The 18,762-nt window shown below is 37.0% G+C and overlaps 1 protein-coding gene across 5 annotated transcripts in view, besides 3 other annotated features; it reads left to right on the top strand.

Moving 5' to 3' along the window:
• Positions 1 to 18,762, top strand: part of ELL2 (elongation factor for RNA polymerase II 2) — a 76,754-nt gene that overhangs the window by 24,108 nt on the left and 33,884 nt on the right. For 2 of the 5 annotated variants that reach the window (NM_012081.6, XM_017009239.2), the window contains exon 3: positions 18,199 to 18,320. The exons of 1 other annotated variant lie outside the window; for it this stretch is intronic. In NM_012081.6, coding sequence (NP_036213.2) covers positions 18,199 to 18,320 — 122 coding nt within the window. Of the gene's footprint in view, positions 1 to 5,030; positions 5,113 to 18,198; positions 18,321 to 18,762 lie in introns of all 5 variants that reach the window. 2 more of the 5 variants (XM_017009240.3, XM_047416959.1) reach the window with 2 other exon arrangements.
• Positions 9,837 to 9,886: a silencer, noted in NCBI's record as "silent region_16188". NCBI's record gives its function as "represses an Ori minimal core promoter by ATAC-STARR-seq in GM12878 lymphoblastoid cells {active_cell/tissue: GM12878}" and the evidence as "EXISTENCE:reporter gene assay evidence [ECO:0000049][PMID:35858748]".
• Positions 12,725 to 13,019: an enhancer, noted in NCBI's record as "tiled region #10583; HepG2 Activating DNase matched - State 5:Enh". NCBI's record gives its function as "activates a minimal TATA promoter and a strong SV40 promoter by Sharpr-MPRA in HepG2 cells {active_cell/tissue: HepG2}" and the evidence as "EXISTENCE:reporter gene assay evidence [ECO:0000049][PMID:27701403]".
• Positions 13,501 to 13,640: an enhancer, noted in NCBI's record as "active region_22813". NCBI's record gives its function as "activates an Ori minimal core promoter by ATAC-STARR-seq in GM12878 lymphoblastoid cells {active_cell/tissue: GM12878}" and the evidence as "EXISTENCE:reporter gene assay evidence [ECO:0000049][PMID:35858748]".

The following is an 18,762-nucleotide window of genomic DNA, read 5'->3' as shown; positions in this document are numbered from 1 at the left end:
AATACCAGAAGAATGTTAAAATTATATTTCTTTATAAAGGTAGTTCTGTTTTAATTTTTTTAATATTACAGTGGTTAACATGCATAGATATCATCTAATATTTTTGCTGAATTACACCTCTTTAGCCACCTGTTAATTTACTAAGGTGTTAATAAAATAGTAAATTACCTAATGTTAAAAAAATTTTAGTTTTTATATATACACACACACAACACGTACACACACACTTTTTTTTTTTTTGAGACGGAGTCTTGCTCTGTCGCCCAGGCTAGAGTGCACATTTTTTAAAATCTCATTTTACCCAGGAGATGGGCTGCCCCTGGGAACTCTGGAAACTGCATATTTTCTCACACAATAATTGAATCATACTTTGAAACTATTGTAAATTGACTAGAGTACTCGGTCTAGGCCACCCCTTGCCCTTGAAGAGCTCAGAATAGCAGAGTGTGGGAGAATAACTTTGATTGTATGTTTGTGGTGCCTGAGGAAACTATCTCAAAGTACTCACGGATCATACCCTTACACAGGCCCCACTGTGAGCTACAGCAAGACAAGCCCCCCAAAGCATGAGCACAAACAGGGGTGCTCACCCTGCTCTGTCCTTCACCAAACTGCATCACTTTGGAATGCAGCAGCTGGAGCTATAACTAATATCTGAAGCTACCACAATTGCCTTAAATTGTATTCTTAGCAATGAGTTAAGCTTACTGCCTTCACTTAGCAAATATTTGTCAGTGCGCGATGTGTACCAGGCACCATGATAGACAGGTAGACACTGTGTAGACAAGGTAAAATAGCCCATTTGTATTCCTGACATTATCTGTTTGTCGATAAAATTTGTCACTAATTGGCTTTGCTTTTTTGTTTCCCACCAAAAACTGAACTTGTAGAATTGAGTTATTTATGTTGCAGGCAGTATCACTTTAATAGTACTCACACTTATTTAAGCTTGGAAAATAATATTTTACCAATTCTTTGATACTTTGTGGTCCCTTAAATTTAACCATCCCTTACTCTGTCACCTATGTTGGAGTGCAGTGGCTCAATCATAGCTCACTGCAGCCTACTGGGTAGCTGGGACTATAGGCACGCATTACCACACTCTGCTAATTTTTTCACTTTTTGAAGAGACACGGTCTCCCTATATTGCCCAGCCTGGTCTCCAACTCCCGGACTCAAGCGATCCTCCCGCCTCAGCCTCTCAAAGTGCTGGGATTACAGGGGTGATCTACCACCCAGCCCCACCTTCTTGAGGAGTTAGGTTTCACCTTGGAGATCAGTGCTTCTTATCTATAAAATTTCCCTGGAGAGCTATGATGAGGTTTGGAAACCTGGACTTAAAACAATTTTTTTCCCCCAGATATTCTTAGGATAGCTCGATTCACTGTCATAACAATGTTTGGAGACTATACATATATATAGGTACGTATACATTCTCTTCTCAAAAGAAGCTTCATGACTTCCATCAATTTCTGGGTAACCTCTGACCTCTCTAATATGAGAAAACTACATCAGTAAATGAGTGGCCTTCAAATACATTTACAAATAATTCACAGGCAAAACTGTTTTACATCACATAGCTTTACACATATAGATGTAGACATTCACACAACTGAAACAAAAGTTCCACAACATAGTCTTTACCCATACTTCATCAATGTACCCTGATATGTTCTATTCCATTCTCTTTCATTTAAAAAGAATCCTAGTCACAATTCACTAAATTAATGCCATGACCTTCCAATGGGTCACAATCTATTATAGCTTACCAAACATGGTAGGAGATTATCAACTATTTAAAAAATTTTAGCCAGGGAGTCATGTGGTCAGATTTGCATTTTAACATGCTTCTCCAATGGCTGCCTTGACTTAGTCATTCCTTATACATGGGATTCCTTACATATGGGAGGAGAAGAAGAAGAAGAGATAAGGATGGCTCTGTATTTATTACTTGAGCGTTTGGTTAGGTGGTGAGGCCATTATTCAAATCTGAAATAGACGAAAAGAGCAGGTTGAGACAGGAGACATGGGTGTGTTTGGTTTAGAACATGTTATCCATGAGGTGTTCAGGTTACACTCCAATCCTCATTCTATCAGAATGGAGCTGCCCAGGGGGTATTCCCATTGGAGAATTGGAACAAAAGGATTTTCAAAAAGCAACTCCAAAGGACATTTTATTGGGTTTAATTATACCTGGAACCTTAGTCGTAAGAAGAAAGAAAAGGTAGATTTACAGATGAAATTCTGATGTGAAGCCCTATTTAAAGAGTAATTTTTTTTCTAGCTGTTAAAGAATACTGGTTTACATATGAATACTGAAAGCATGACTATTGTTACTTTTAATTACTAATATTTAGGTAATTTGAAGCTCCTTTTGTTAAATTTTGCCCATATTAATTAAGAACAATGACAGGCTAATAGAGATTAAGTGTGGTATATTCATTTAGTGGAATAATATACAACAATGAAAAGCAGTAACTTATAACTCTAAGCAGGCAGAAGAATACATACGGTATGATGCCGTTTTTATAAAGTTTAATAACAGGAATAATCAGACAATCTATTTGTAGGTTTATGTATATTATAAAATTATTAAAAACCAAAAAAGGGATGACAGTTATGAAAATGAGAACAGTGGTTACCCATGAAGGGAAAGGCAGGCAGAGGGAAAAGGAGAGGAGTATGGATGGATGTGTTATTGCTCACATTCTAGTTCTTGAGTTTACAGGTTCTTATTATGACATTGAACTTCATAACTATCAAGCTATACTTATTTTGCAGAAACAAATATGTTAAAGTTGTTCTCATTATCATTAAAGATAATTTGTCATCTTTATGGGTTAAATAAGAAAAACCAGAACATGTTTCAATAGATGCCAAAAAGGCATTTTAAATCTGTATTTCCTAATTGTTCGAGAAACATAAAAGAAATTTTTGGAGATGCCAAGTTCAAATATGACAAGACTCTAAGGAGAAAAACTGGATATTAAAGGTTTAAAAAAACAAGTTGACAAGGAGAACAGAGAAGGCAGGTCTTGTTATCTAGAGCTAGACACCAGCTAATATCTTGGTAGTCAACTACTTGATAGAGTTGCTTTGTCATCTATCAGTGGAGAAAGAAAGTTTTCTCTCTGTCTGTGATCTCTCTCTCTCCAGTGGAAAGAAGGTGCAGGCAGAGTTGCTGGTGTTATCAAGGGTGTGGGAGTGGAGGTTACTTTCCTTTCTGAGTTAACACTTGATGTTTTGGAGCAGTGGCATTGTAAAGTGTCCTAGGAAAAAGTCCAGTCTAGAAAGGACAGATTAGGGGAATGAAAAGCAGCAGTTGGTTGAATTTTAAAAGATGAGGTTCTTAGGGGGCTTAGGGTAATAAAACTCAGAATGCAATAGCCAAGTGATTAAAGAACTAAATTGGGCCCACATCAGTAGAGGGTTGGTACCTAAGCAGCCATAGGAAAAGGGCAGTTCTTTATAATACATGAAAAGCCTAGGGTTTAATAACCACTTAGTAAGGTATGTTATGGATATCTTATTTTAGAGTAAGAATATAAGGCATAGCCATATTTATGAAGGTAGTAATACTCTACTAATCAATACTTAGAAGTTTTTGTTATGACTAATCTGAATGCTTTTTAGTTTTTCCTTAATCTAGTTATGTTGGTAATTTATAAGTCAGTTTTCAGATTAGGAAAGAAGGTATTTGAGGGTGTTCCATTTCCACTGAATAGTAAGATGATGCTTACTTAGATTTCCACAGCTGTTTGAAAGCTCTGTATTTGGCTATAACGGAAAACTTTGTTAGGGATGCTTGATGTTTTGTGTTTTGTTTCTAAAGGAAGACAGTGTTTTGTTCCTTCTTTAGAAAACTTGAAGAATAGAATAATGAGTCCAGGATTAATTTGGGATAAAGTCTTTTACTTCATAAATTCTGATTCTGTAAAAAAAAAAAAATCTCTAACCTCTTTCAAGAATATTTAAGGTAATTGGTCAAAGGGCAAGTATCAGTGATAACCTAAAATCTAGTTATTATTTTTATGCAGCCTTTATTGTTTTTCTGATTGAAAAACAAAGTGAATAAACATTTGTAAAGTGTATAAAATACACATAAGAATAAAGATGAGTAATAAAAGGGTCCCTAATAGTGAAAAACAGTTTTATTCAATTTCTTTCTAGTCTTTTCTTCTTGCTCACACTTACATTTTTAAAATTGCAGGCTTAATGTGTTTATTGCTTTTTTATATTCTTTTTTCATTTAGCATGTATCATGAGCATTTTCCTATGTTATTAAATAATAAAAGTTGCTTTTAAATAGCTACCTAACATTTCATTTTATGGATGCACTATCATTTAGCCATTCTCCTATTACATGTATGGTTTCTGTATAACAATAATGGTATGATTAAAATCCGTGTGCATAAATTATTATTGCTATCTTTATTTCCTCAGGATAGATTCCTAGATATGGCATTTATTAGGTCAGAATACTTTTAAAGTTTTCAATAACTGTCACCAAATCATTTATCCCATCTGAATCCCCCACCCCCAGAAAGCTGCTGCTGCCTTATATTCCCACAGCTGTTCGAAAGTGCCAGTCACAAGGGGTTTTCCCCAGCCAATATTGGATACATGTTTTTTGAATTTCAAAATTAATCATTTGATAATGTCTAAAAACTGTTTGACAGCGTGATTTGTTTGATTATAATCTGACATGAGTAAAATACTGCAATGTTTTAAGATAGCGTAAAGTAACATCCAGTGCCTTGTTGTCTCCATCTGGTATTGCTAGGAGTGGTTTTGAGTTTTTCATTCCTTTATACTATTCATGCTTTCTCCCAATATGGTGGGGAGAGTTTTTATTTTAGTAGTTCATGGACTCCCTTTGACAAAATTACTCTATTTCTCTAACTTTTAAAAATAATTATTCTATTTATATAACTTTTTACATACTGTATTTTGCTATTTTGACATTTTTCTTTACCATTGTTTGTGGTCATAATCATTTAGTGCTTTTGAATTTCTACCTTCATCTTTAGATGCCTGTCTTCTTTAAAAGAACATTGCAAACGTCTCACAAAGCCTAGCGGTATGGATCTCTTTTTTTCATGGAGCAATGCTGTGAGTTATTGGCCAGGGGATAAAATGTTTTACTACTTTATATAGTTTCATTATTTTAGAGGGACTCTGTGGTATGTGGTTCTACCTCCTAGCAGAATTAAATAACTATCTAAAAGATAAGCAAAAGTTTTGTAATATCAGTTATTCAAATATAGTAATTACCTTAATTACCCATATGTAAACCTTTGCCCTTTTTTGCCAAAGTGTCTCTTTCTCTATGTGAAGGCATAGATTTGATGGCTTTGCCAATGGCCTAACCATCCTTAGAAATCTTTTTAGTCCTATATTTCTTGCAATTATAAATCAGTCTGTCTAAGAAACTTGACAGGCCCTCTTATTTACATCAGACATGCCAACCTCTTAGAAATCAGAACTGTAGTCTCTAATTTAGCTCTTGATGTGTTGTGCATATCAATAGCTTTATACATGTGAAATTAGAAATAGTTTTATTTTCTTTATAGGCTTGAAGAAAATTAACAAACAAATTTGACTTATGAAAACTGAATAGAAATAAATTTTATGGAGTAAACCAGACTCTGCCTCAGGAATGCATTTTCAGAGTAGATGTTCGGAAACAGATTTATAAAAATTAAAATACTATATGTTTGGTTCATTTTTAGGGCTACCTATAGCTTGATACAAAAAAAAAAAAACACCCCCACAGACTTTAAAATACTGTTTGTATTTATGAAGATTGAATGCTTTAGAGTCATAAAGTTGTGATTCCCATGAGAACCCTTAATTCTATTTTCTTTGTTTCTTTGTTGTGCTGTAGCTAGTATCTGGGACTCTGGGAATCTGAAAGCAGTATTTTTTTTTTTTTTTTTTTTTTTTTATGGATAGGGCACTTGGGAAGCAGTGTTTGCTACCCTTCTAGAGGAGCAGCAGGCATCTGTAATTTTTCAGCCTTCCATGGACACCTGTTTTAGCTGATTCATTCTCATACCTTATCTTTCTGTATTTTGAGTTTGAGACAGTTGGAAATATTGCTAGTTGTTTTCATTATTTGTTTATTTTTCCAGATACCTTATTTGGTTTCCATTTACACTAACACTTAAGCTTTGACCCAGAAGACTTGTAGCCCCTTATTTTTCTCTAAATTATGAAGATTCAGAATGAGTATAGTTAACTTTTGATTATCCGAAGAGCTTGTTACCAGAAATTACTTCAAAAATAAAACATCTCATTATAGTAAGGAAGGCATGTGTGTGTTAGAATCAAACAGGTCAGAATTGGAGTGGGAGCTCCCCAATATTGTCTTTGTATTATCAAAGCAAACATTTTTTGGCACTTACTGTGTACCGGGCCTTGTGCCAAACACCTTAGATGGGTTATCTCTGAACTTCACATCAGTCATATGAGGTGGGTAATATCATTATCTACATTTTACAAGTATGGAAACTGGGGATTACTGAGGTTATTTGCCCAAGGTAACACAGATGGTAGATTCTGGAGCCAGAGTTGGAAACTGGGTAGTTTGCTCCAGACCCAATGATCTAGCATCCTAGATGTGGTCCATTAGGGCTCTCTCTTTTCATCCGTTTGTAAAAGAGAAGTTTTCACTTTCTTCTCAAACCATTGAGAAACAACTTGGAACTGGAAGTGCAAAGGGAGAATTCTAAAGAAAGCGTTTTAAAAAGGAGAAAGAACAAGAAAGCAGGACACCATTTCCTACCTTTGGTATTCTCCAAATAGTTGGCACCAATTCTCATAAAAAAAAAATGGCACAAAATGGTGCATATTTTTACACACACACTTTTGTAATGTTCATTTAAGATTTGACTACAATTTAATTAATTAAAATGATATACCCCAAATATTGTATGTCTTATTGCTGTTTCTCCTTGTTTAGCATAGACTGTGGTCTTGTGCCTTTGGTCCCCAGGGAGGACTTACCACAGTGGCTGCCTCAGCAATTCCAGTCTCTCATCATTCCTTCCTTAACTAGAGCATTTCTGAGTCTGTTTGTAATACATAAAATAAGTTCCCCGTAAGACTTACTTTGAAAAAAGCATTCGGTAACTTTACCCAAGAAAAGGCTCAAAAACAATTGATATTGAAAGCAGAGAATTAAGAGTTAAATATACTTCTAAATCTATATGGAAATATTCTGCAGACTTAACTATTGTTTGTCTTATTGGACTTACAAGTTTTCTTGGTGACATTGATTAGGTTGGGGTGAAACCATGTATTTTACAAAATCTGGGGCTTGGGCTTTTTGAGACTTCTGTTAACCTTGAGGACTTGCAGGTGTCAAATACCAGTCTCTCCCTAGATTTACACAACTGCTGCTGACTGCAGTCATGAATTCTAAGCCCACTTACATTTGCCAGCAGTTCTTCCTGGCATAATGCAAAAGAACGTTGCTCAAGGCTCCAGGGTACAAGGAGAGGAGATTGGCAATGAATTGGAAGTTGCGATTCATATTTAAGATTTTTTTTCCTTGTAGAATTCAGGTTTGGGCTTTGTTTCTGAGAAACCATTTTTTAAAACAAAATTCTGCTTCCTATTTGACAAGAAGAATTACTAAACTTAGAATTATTTAGTATGGTTACATTCTAAATTCTTTAAAAATACAAAATGGTTTTAAAGAGGTTGGGTCATACTTTCAAATGGAATTTCGTGAAGCCAGAGTATTCGGCGAGTGTTTTAATAAAGACGAAGATACTTTTTAGAAAGAAAAATGTATAATATGAACTTAAGTCCCACAAACCCAGGAAGCCACTTGGCCTAGGCTTTGGGGCTAAACATAGCATAAGAGAGGTTAGAAACTTTCTCACCCTGACATTTGTACCACACAGCAGGCAGCTGTGTGGGGGTTTTTTTGTTTTTTGTTGTTTTTTTTTTTTTACCCTTCCTTTCATCTTGTAATTTATTTTTGCCTTCTCTGGGGAACCCTGGTTCTCAACAGATTCTTAAGTCATCTATTTCAAATCCATTTATAATTTTTTAGTATCCCTGACATAAGGCACCTTCTGAGTGAATTTAATCTAAGTTTCTTCAGATAAATCTAACAAATATTTATTAGGTATCTACTCCACTGTGTTTCAAATATATATAAAAGTGGGTAAGACCGGCTGGGCGCAGTGGCTCACACCTGTAATCCCAGCACTTTGGAAGGCCAAGGCGGGCAGATCACGAGGTCAGGAGTTTGAGACAAGCCTGACCAACATGGTGAAACCATGTCTCTACTAAAAATACAAAAATTAGCCGGATGTGGTGGTGCACACCTGTAATCCCAGCTACTCGGGAGGCTGAGGCAGGAGAATCGCTTGAACCCAGGCGGCAGAGGTTGCAGTGAGCCAAGATCGAGCCGCTGCACTCCAGCCTGGGCGACAGAGCGAGACTCTGTCTCAAAAAAAAAAAAAAATGAGGAAGACCATGGTCCTTGCCTCCAAAGAACTCACAGTCTGGTGGGAGAGAAAGGCAAATAAATGAGTACTTAGCATATACAATGTAGTGAAGGCAGCAATAGCGATGAGCGCCTAGAGGTGAGGGGACCATGGAGACTCAGAAAGCGGGCTTCTAAACGCACCTCACTGAGAAAGCAAAGGCTCCTGAGGGAAGGACTCCTAAGCTGAACTCACATTAAGTTAGCATGAGCTAAGGCAAGAAGTGGGGACACAGAGTAGCGTGTTCCGGCACCCAGCAAGCACGGTATTGCTGCTGGACATGAAATACAATGTGGAGATGAGGCCCAGTTAAACTGGTTTAGTAGCAAGAGTGCTGACAAGGAAACATATATACTGTTAAGAAGCTTACATCTACTACTCATAAGTAGTAGGAAGTCATGAAGAAATAAATGACCCTTGAGACTGACAGAGTCATATTGACATTTTGTAAGAATAGTTGTTGATAAAAACTGAATGATTATAGGATGGCAGCTGAATGATTAGATGATGGGATTGAGAATGGTTCAAAAGTGGAGGTCGAAAACCAAGTTGTCCAAGCAAAAGGTAATACTGAGCCAAAGCAGAGGAAAGAATATACATTTAAGAAATGTTTCGGAAGGAAAAAGCAGTAAGTCTTACGATTATGTGTTTGTTGAGGGGTGTGGAGTAGTGTGAGAAAGAGGAGTCAAATTTCACTCATCAGGATGCCAGTAATCTCAGCACTAAATGAATGATGGCTTATTAACTGGGCAATGTGGGAGGGTGGAAAGATTTAGGAACGAGATGATAATTTAGTTTATATCAGCTTTGTATATTTAAATTTTGGAAGGGACTGGTTAATAAAACAAAAATGAAATGCAGCTTTATGATAAGTTGCTGAACCCAATGGGAGGTTTTAGTTTTTGCCACCAAAGAAGAACTTGTGGCTTAGCCCAGCCATGACTGCATTTTGAAGAAACTATTTAGATTTTCTCGATGGCTGTCTCACTTCTCTTCCAAAACCACTTTGGCACTTGGTTCAACTTTGCATTCATTTTTAAACAAAGTTTCTGTTCTCTCATGCTCCATAGTCTGTATATCTTTTCCCTGATGCAGTATCTCTAGTACTAATCTGCTATTTCCATCTTTCCCCTGCCAGTAACTGTCATCACCCCTTTTTTCCTGGAAATACCCAACTACCAAACAACACACACTCAGACACCTGTGTTCTTCTAAATACTTTTTAGCCATGAAGCTACAAAAATGAATCATAAGAAAACTCCCTTTGAAGCCCCTTTTTAGCTGACGAAACCAACACTGGTCAGTTGTACAGTATTTAAAAATAAGAAGTACACTTAACCAGTTAATGGATTCATTTACATTAAGGTGCTCATTATCACATTCAAAGTAAAATATACACACATATGTGTGTGTGTATGTCTATATACACACATATGTGTGTGTGTATGTCTATATACACACATATGTGTGTGTGTATGTCTATATACACACATATGTGTGTGTGTATGTCTATATACACACATATGTGTGTGTGTATGTCTATATACACACGTGTGTGTGTATGTCTATATACACACGTGTGTGTGTATGTCTATATACACACGTGTGTGTGTATGTCTATATACACACGTGTGTGTGTATGTCTATATACACACGTGTGTGTGTATGTCTATATACACACGTGTGTGTGTATGTCTATATACACACGTGTGTGTATGTCTATATACACACGTGTGTGTATGTCTATATACACACGTGTGTGTATGTCTATATACACACGTGTGTGTGTATGTCTATATACACACGTGTGTGTGTATGTCTATATACACACGTGTGTGTATGTCTATATATACACACGTGTGTGTGTGTATGTCTATATATACACATACACATACTGAAACAATTCCATTCTTCCAGGCAAAATACCCTGGAGTCATCCTTGATTTCTCCCCTTCATTCCTTATATTTAGTATGTCTAGGAATCCTGCTGCCTGTACCTGCAAAATACATCCCAGATCCATCCATTTCTCCCTGTCCTGGTCCTAGGCATCATTATCTCGTTCCTGGACTTTCATACATATGTGCCACAATGGCAGGAATCTTTGTCAGTTTTATTCACTACTATGTCATAGAAACCTAAACAGTGCCTAGCACAGTAGTACTCAGTTAATATGTGTGGAATAAGTGAATTAAATGAAAGAATCAATTAATCCATGTCATCTTACCAGAAACACTAACATTTAGAAGGCTAATTTCATATTAATAGAGAAGCCATATTAAGAGAGCCAAAAATTACTCAAGGTAGTTTTTTGTAATTTCAGTTATATAGCAACTGAGTGTATTGGGTGTATTTTATTTTTAAAAATTAGTACTTTACTTCCATCGATGTTATTGTGTATTTGTAATTAAAATTGGTTTTGAAATGTTGCCGTCGATGATATTTTCTCCAAAATGGTCATAAATTTAAAAGAATACATTAGGGATGAGAATGCAGTTCTCAGGAATTATTTTTCTAATAAGACTGTATCCTACAGAAATAAGAGAAATAGGAAATCTCAGTATTAGGCTGCTATACTCTTTAATCCAGAACTAGAAATTTTAATACTGGATCCAGGGGAACCATGTGAAAAATAACAGGGAAAGCAATTTCACCTTACTTTTTCCTTGCTTAATATACATCTTGCTAAAGAGGAACAATGGAAGGAAATAAATGGACTTATTTTTCCTGAATTATTTATTAATTATAATTCCTGAATTATTGTTATATGACCTGAATTTTGGGGATAACTGCCAATATTTCTCTTTGTGCTAGAAAAATTTGGCATTTTGCACTACTCTCTTCAGTAAAATAGCTATCATATGGAAATTTCAGACGGCTCTAATATGTGTTGGATCCTCTCTACCCTCTGCCCTTCCCTGTCAGTAGGAATATTTAGCTCTTATTGATTTCTCTAATACTTAACTTTTTCTATTGCCAGTGAAGGCTACCCTCCCCTTCCTACTCCTCCACCCTTCAGCATTGGTTTGCACATCTGGGCTGATGTGAGAGGCTTTTTTTTTTTTCTCCCCTCAACCCATAATGTTTGGGCCTAAAGTCATAACTGCAGGTCTAGTTTAAAAAATAGCACATGTGGCTTTCAGGTTGAGGTTTCTATTTTCTGTTCTGATTCTAGACTATTCTGTCCCTAAACTGTGGAGCCTGAATAGTACATGCAAATATATTTCTCTAGCTTAAAGTATATTTTCTAGATTTTAAGGAAGTCACAGAATCAAGAGTCTAGAAATAATTTGAGAACAACAGAGAATTCTAATGTTTAAATGTTTGCAGTAAGTTTGTATCTAAGCTAATATATAGTCTATATATAGTCAAATAATAGATTTTAGATAAAATTAAGAGATGGACTGGCTTCCTGGGATGCCGGAGGGGAGGTGGGTTCTGAGGCCATACAAATTGGGAAACTATTCAGTATGAAAAGACCCACAGCAAAGAAAGTTATTTTGTTTAACTTGGCATTTCCTAAATTTATTTGAGGAAAGAACCCCTCTTTCACATAAGGAAACTTTTCAGCATGCTTCAGAAATGCTGGTGGAAAGAAAGCAAACACTTCAGTTCTAGGCCTGGCTCAGGCATTAATCCACCTTTTCATTTAACAAATATGCATTGAGTGACTACTTTGTGCCACGCACCACTTGAGGTGCTGACAATATATTCAGGGAACACAACAGACAAAAGCCTCTGTCCTTGCAGAGCTTATATTCTAGTGAAGGGAGAAAGACTATAAACATAATATGTTAGTATTACAAGGTAATGAGTGTTTCAGACAGCCATGGAGCAGGCTCGGATTTGTAGTACAGGGGTTGTCAATCTAAGTATGACTCTAACTTGAACAAATCACTAAGCCTCATTGTCCCTAATCTATAAAAAAGAAATTATAGATGATCTTGGCCCGCTCAGCTATATGAGTCCACTTTAACACCAGGAATTGTCATGTCAAACCATGGTACTGCTGGTTCACTGAGCATTTACAATCACCTTATCAGAAAAGGTGTCTGTCAAACAAGAATTCTGTAAGTTTGAATGATTTGTAATCCCACAGAAGAACAAAACACTTAAATAAATGAAGAAAACCCTTGCTGGTTCTATTTTTAATCTAATGTATACCTCAATCCAATATTGAGTAGAAAGTATTTGACTCAAGGACAGGAAACCTGCAGTAAAGGTACCAACAGCTTTTCAGCAGATGTTAGCATTCACATATGAGAAAGTTGCAGCAGTGTGCACATTGTGCTTCTGCCCTAGATCCTTATGTAAATAGGACGTCCGTGACTTGATGTTGAAATGACCTTTCAGGCAGTATTCTGTTGCCACATGCCTGAGCTTGTATCCCAGAGTAATTAGACGTTTTGACTTACACATCTTGGTATACAGTGTTTATGCTAATTATAAATGTCTGAAAGTTTCCTGAAACTTTTTCTTTGTAGCTTTTTATCAAAGACAGACAGGAGGTTGGGAGGAGGGTTGTGGATTGTGGTCCTAAGCCTTTGATTTTCAGTCTCTCATTTTTGGAATGAAAATTAAAATCTGCTTTTCCAGTTGCCGAGACATGGTGGTATATTTTTATATTCTTCATCTTGAACAAGAAACTGTTTGGAATCACAGCATTTTAATACTTTTTAAATAATATTTTATTCTTAAGGCATTTAGCTAAAAATTCAAGATTGTGAGTCCCTAAATAAAAATTATTCCCAACTGACCTGTAGGAAAAGCTTAAAATACTAAAATTAAAATGGAGAAGTTTCTATCTCACAAAGGAATGGTCTTCCAATATTGTTTCAAAATCAGACCTCAAAACTTATTTCCTGTGGTGGTTACCTCAGTCCTCAAAGCTGACCCTAGGTCTACCAGTAGCAGTCAGTACATTTTCACTTCCTCCTCCTCGTATTTCATGAACCTGAAGGCTAGTTTTTAAGAAAATGCTTTATAACCATTTTGGAAAAAAGAACTGTGTAGATACACAATGGAATAGGCTCCTGCATATCAGAGGGGACTGACGCATATCCACAGGTTCCTCTGAAACTCTGCCTGAATGGCTCTAGATTAGACAAGGTCTCAGACCCACCCTAGCTCTGGCCTTCAACAGTCCCACAGGTTCTGGTCTGCTCTGAAGTTGCCATAGTTTAGTTCTAAAGCTTCCCTCTCACCAACCTGCCCTAATTGTCATATATTACCTGCTCTTTCCAATAAGTCTCCTGCTTTCCTGTCCATTGGCCAAATTGTTACACAGCCTTACCAGCCATAAACATAAGTGCTACCTTATATACCCATTTCATTCTTAAGAGTATACTTGGATATTGATACAATTAACTTTGTGTCTAATTAATACATCTTCAAGAAATTAGATGCACTAAGTCTACAAACCCTTTTGAAATTTTAAGGATGTAAAATTTGCCTGAAAACATCTTGCTCTTGAAAAGCTTCAGATTAGCTCAGACCATACCATCTGCATTGATGCTGCTCTGAAACTACCAAGAAAAGGCAATGTAGAACTCTGATTGGCCTGGGCTTAGCTCAGACCATACCATCTGCATTGATGCTGCTCTGAAACTACCAAGAAAAGGCAATGTAGAACTCTGATTGGCCTGGGCTCCATGTCCCTTTGTTCCCTAACCTCTAAGCTCCACTTCAGCTCCATAGCTGCAAAGAAACTCATGACGTGCATCAAGAGTCACCCTTTGGTCCCAAAGTGAACACTATTTGCCCTGATGCCTGCCCCTGCCGTGTCTGCGTACTGCTCAAATATACCCATAGTGTTACACGCAGGTAGGAGAGACTGTTGAGAAGTTCTGCTATCAGAGGTGAGGACAGAGGTGGTTTGTTACTGATCTTTAGCAGTCTGAGAATCTTATCATTGTGTGTGGCATATGATAAGAACAAGGAAAAATGGTAGGGATTGAAAGCACTCTGCAGATAAGTTACTCTGTATTTCTTTTTTTTTTTTCACTTTATTTTTTATTTTTATAGACACAGGGTCTCATTGTGTTGCCCGGGCTGGTCTCGAACTCCCAGGCTCAAGTGATCCTCCCACCTCAGCCTCCCAAAGTGCTGGGATAACAAGTGTAAGTCACCACACCCAGCCTCTGATTTCTTTTCTAAGGGGATGACCTATTTCTGTTTATAATCCAAAATTTATCAGCCTTGGCCCTACTGATATTTTGTACTGCGTAATTGGAGGGAATGTCCTGTGCAGTGTAGGGTGTTTGGCAGTATCTCTGGCCTCCCACTACATGCCAATAGCACCCTCCCAGACCAAATGTCCTCTGGGGGACAAAATTGCCCCTTGTTAAGAACCACTGTTTTAATCTATGTGTAACACAAATTTCAAAACACTTTGGTGAGTACATAGCATGGATTATGATTTTTTAAAAACTTTGTTTCTTTTTAAGCTGATTCTATTCTAGTCATGGTCATATTTTTTAAATCTGTAGCTTTTTTCCTACTGAAGAGACTTTTAAAAAACAAGAATATGAAAGTCTTCTGTGTCCACCATCAGGCCAAACTATAATGCTTTAAGAGAAAAAAATGCATAGAAAGATAATTATTTTACCTTAAAAAGCATAAATGTTACTTAAGAAGTTAGGATTGGGTGGTTTGGAGGATGAGAAAGGAAAAAGCTACATTTAAGTAACAAAGGTTTGTTAAGAGCTTTCTGTAACACTCTGTTTAGTGGACATTTGAACTAAAGGACTCCAGCCATGAAGTTAAAAGTTTTCACTAAAAGAACACTGCACATTTGCAGAATTTGAGTACAGACTCTAATCACTCTTGAAAAATAGGGGGAAAAAAACTGTACAATTCAACCTTTTAAAAATGCAATTTAGGCTGGGCGCAGTGGCTCACGCCTGTAATCCCAGCACTTTGGGAGGCCAAGGCCAGCAGATCACGAGGTCAGGAGATCAAGACCGTCTGGGCTAGCACAGTGAAACCCTGTGTCTACTAAAAATACAAAAAATTAGCCGGGCGTGGTGGCGGGTGCCTGTAGTCCCAGCTACTTGGGAGGCTGAGGCAGGAGAATGGTGTGAACCAGGAGGCGGAGCTTGCAGTGAGTTGAGATCGTGCCACTGCACTCCAGCCTGGGCGACAGAGAGATTACGTCTCAAAAAAAAAAAATGCAATTTAGAGTCTACCAGATGGGATGGTCTTACATTCTCTGATAGGTATGGAAGTACTGCTATATTCCCAAACCTGAGCTATGCAGTAGGGAAAACTTTAGATCTAAACCGAAGCTGGAGCCTCATAGGAAGATGAAATATCATATGGAGATGAGACCTCTTTAAAACCACTTTTAAAATTTCTCCAACCAGGTTCTGCAGATCTAGATGAAGGGTTAGGGGAGAAGATGGATGGAAGTTAAATGAGTCATGCCTAGGGAGGGGATTTCATTCAGGTGTCCACACCTTTCTTACCTATCTAGGCATATCCCTTCTCTGTCAGCAGAACCCTGCTCTTCCCAGAGAAACAAAAGCAGACATTAGTGAGTACTGTTATACCAGTATGCAGGTAGCCTTATGTTCTCTTGTGCCTGACGCAAGCATTCCTTTGGCTCCTGTTTGCCTCTACTGCTGTAGGATTAAGAAGTTGCCAATATATGTATGCCAACTAGGCGCTGAGCGTGCACACCCAGTAAGACAGCCTGATGAATACCTACCTACAGAGTAAATTAAGACTTGTTCACAAAGTTACAGCACTTTAGAACTGGGGAAAGTTTTGGGAATTAAAGAGTAACGTTAGGGCCCTCAAAAGATATTTATAAAATAGATAAAAACACAGAAACTTGTGCCAGGAGTTGTCTCTAATTTCAAATAGGGAGTCAAAGATAGTTTAAATTCATGGATGATGGAGGCTCTATGGAGTATTATCTATCTATAGTATCTTTGGTGAAATTTGACCTTTTAAAGCTCTATACAAGTCATCTGAATCTCCTTTCAAAAAACATTTTTCTTTGATTTATTACTTCTTGTTCATTTATTCCTTCAACAAATATTTATTATATGTCTACTATGTGCCAGATACTACAATTGTCTCCCTTCTTACCTTTTTTTCTTTTTACCTTTTTCCAGGGTTGGGAGGAAGGGAAGGCAGGAATTGGTGACTGCAGTTCTTTCCTATAGGTCAAGGTTTGGGAGACTTTTAGATTGAGCAATTCAGTGGTTGCAGGTTATCTTGCAGGGCAGAGCAAAGGCAGGAATCATACATGCCTTTGCCCATGCCTGTGCCCATTCATGAGTGTGAGTGCATACACGCTAAGCAGCAAGTTAGTGCTGTCTTCATCTTATAATGGAAAGGACAGATTTTTTGGAGAATGAGGATTATAAAACACTTTTCCCTTCCCTACTTGTCTGCTAAATTACTAAGACTGTATGTTTGGGAGCTGAAGTTCGGTTAAGTCATATTTTACATTCTTGCCAACTAATCCTTTTTTTTAATTATCACCTAACACCATGCAGACCCAAGGGAGGAAAGGTTTCAGACACTAGGAAGAGTGGAGCAGTTGAAGGACAGAAGATTCCAATTGCACACACCTTTTTTGAGCCCCTACTACATATCAGGCAATGTGGCCAATGCAGGACCTCAGTGGTCTTTAACAACTCTGTCCCTTTGCTCCTGGGACTTCTCATCTAGTAGGGAAGCCAGCCCTTGAACAAGAGTGTAGAAAATACATCTGCCTGTGGTGAAACCCCGTCTCTACTAAAAATACAAAAAAATTAGCTGGGCGTAGTGGCGGGCACCTATAATCCCAGCTACTCAGGAGGCTGAGGCAGAGAATTGCTTGAACCGGGGAGGTGGAGGTTGCAGTGAGCCAAGATCGCGCCACTGCAGTCCAGCCTGGGCAACAGAGCGAGACTCCGTCTCAAAAATAAATAAATAAATAAATAAATAAATAAATAAATAAATAAATAAATATTAAAAATTTAAAAATAAAAATAACAACAACAACAAAGAAAATACATCTTCCTGTTCCACAGTGTTTCCTGGGGCTTAGCCTAGGAGTGACCTACAGAATCATCTCTGTAGGCTGCAGACCCTGTTTCTGTAAACATGAGGATGTATAATGGCATCTTAGGACAGCAGTTTTTACCTGTGAATGCAATTATGGCATTAACCTTATGCTGTTACTCTAAGAAGTTCAAAAATACTGCTCTAAGAAGCAAGAATTAAAATGAAATGTGTTTTTTTATTATAAGAGCCAAAGATTCGGATATGGACTCTTATCTCAGAGATTGCTTCAATATATAGAAGCTATTTAGAAGGGGGTCATGTAAGCCAAAGACAAAACTTGTATTGCTCAAAAGAGGAAGAGCTTTTTACAAATTCACTAATAACTCTTTCATAAGAACTGTAACCATTTGCTACTTTGAAATGAAAAGGGTTCCTCTTATAAACTAATAGAAACTATTGAGCAGAAGTGATTACTGACACTTAAAGGTAGAAAATGGAAATAAGAATCTGGTAAGTTATAGGCATGTTTGCCAGATTCCTTGAATTGTTTGGTCATTTAAATGCTGCGAGGATGTATATATCAAAAGGGCTTAGGTCTAAAATGATTTTCACTAGAAAAACCAGTAAGTCAGTCTTAAGACTTTTCTATGGCAAATTTATAATTTGAGGCGTTTCTCTCTTTTCCCCTCATTTTAGCTTGTCAAAATTCCCAAAAATGATCCCCTCAATGAAGTTCATAACTTTAACTTTTATTTGTCAAATGTGGGCAAAGACAACCCTCAGGGCAGCTTTGACTGCATCCAGCAAACATTCTCCAGGTAAGTACTTTTCAAGGTACACTGAAGGGGAAAAATTTTTTATTTAAGAGGGTTTTAGAAAATTAAACAATACAATACATAATATTCATCCATAAACGTGTATTAAATTGAATTACAGAGCTCATTTATTTATCTGAAAAATATTAAGCACCTACTGTGTAATAGAAATTTCATTTGTAATGGGGATATAATCACAACAGTTCAAAGATTTTTGGTCTAATGGGGCTTTTAAGGTACAGAAGATATTTTTTAACCTATAAAAATGCAGTTTTTGAAAACTAAAGGCAATTTGAGGATTTTTTTTAGAAATATTTAATTCATTGAATTTAAGCAAGAATCTTATAGCATATTTGAGGCTCATACTCCAGGGTAAAGAAGTTAAAAATATCCATCTTGCATGCTTTCTTCCTTCTTCCCTGTTCAAGCCATGTTCTAAGGTAGA

The sequence above is a fragment of the Homo sapiens genome, chromosome 5 (assembly GCF_000001405.40).
Source record: "Homo sapiens chromosome 5, GRCh38.p14 Primary Assembly".
Classification (NCBI taxonomy): domain Eukaryota; kingdom Metazoa; phylum Chordata; class Mammalia; order Primates; family Hominidae; genus Homo; species Homo sapiens.
Note: the sequence above shows the minus strand (reverse complement) of the source record. Positions and strands in the feature narration are given on the sequence as shown.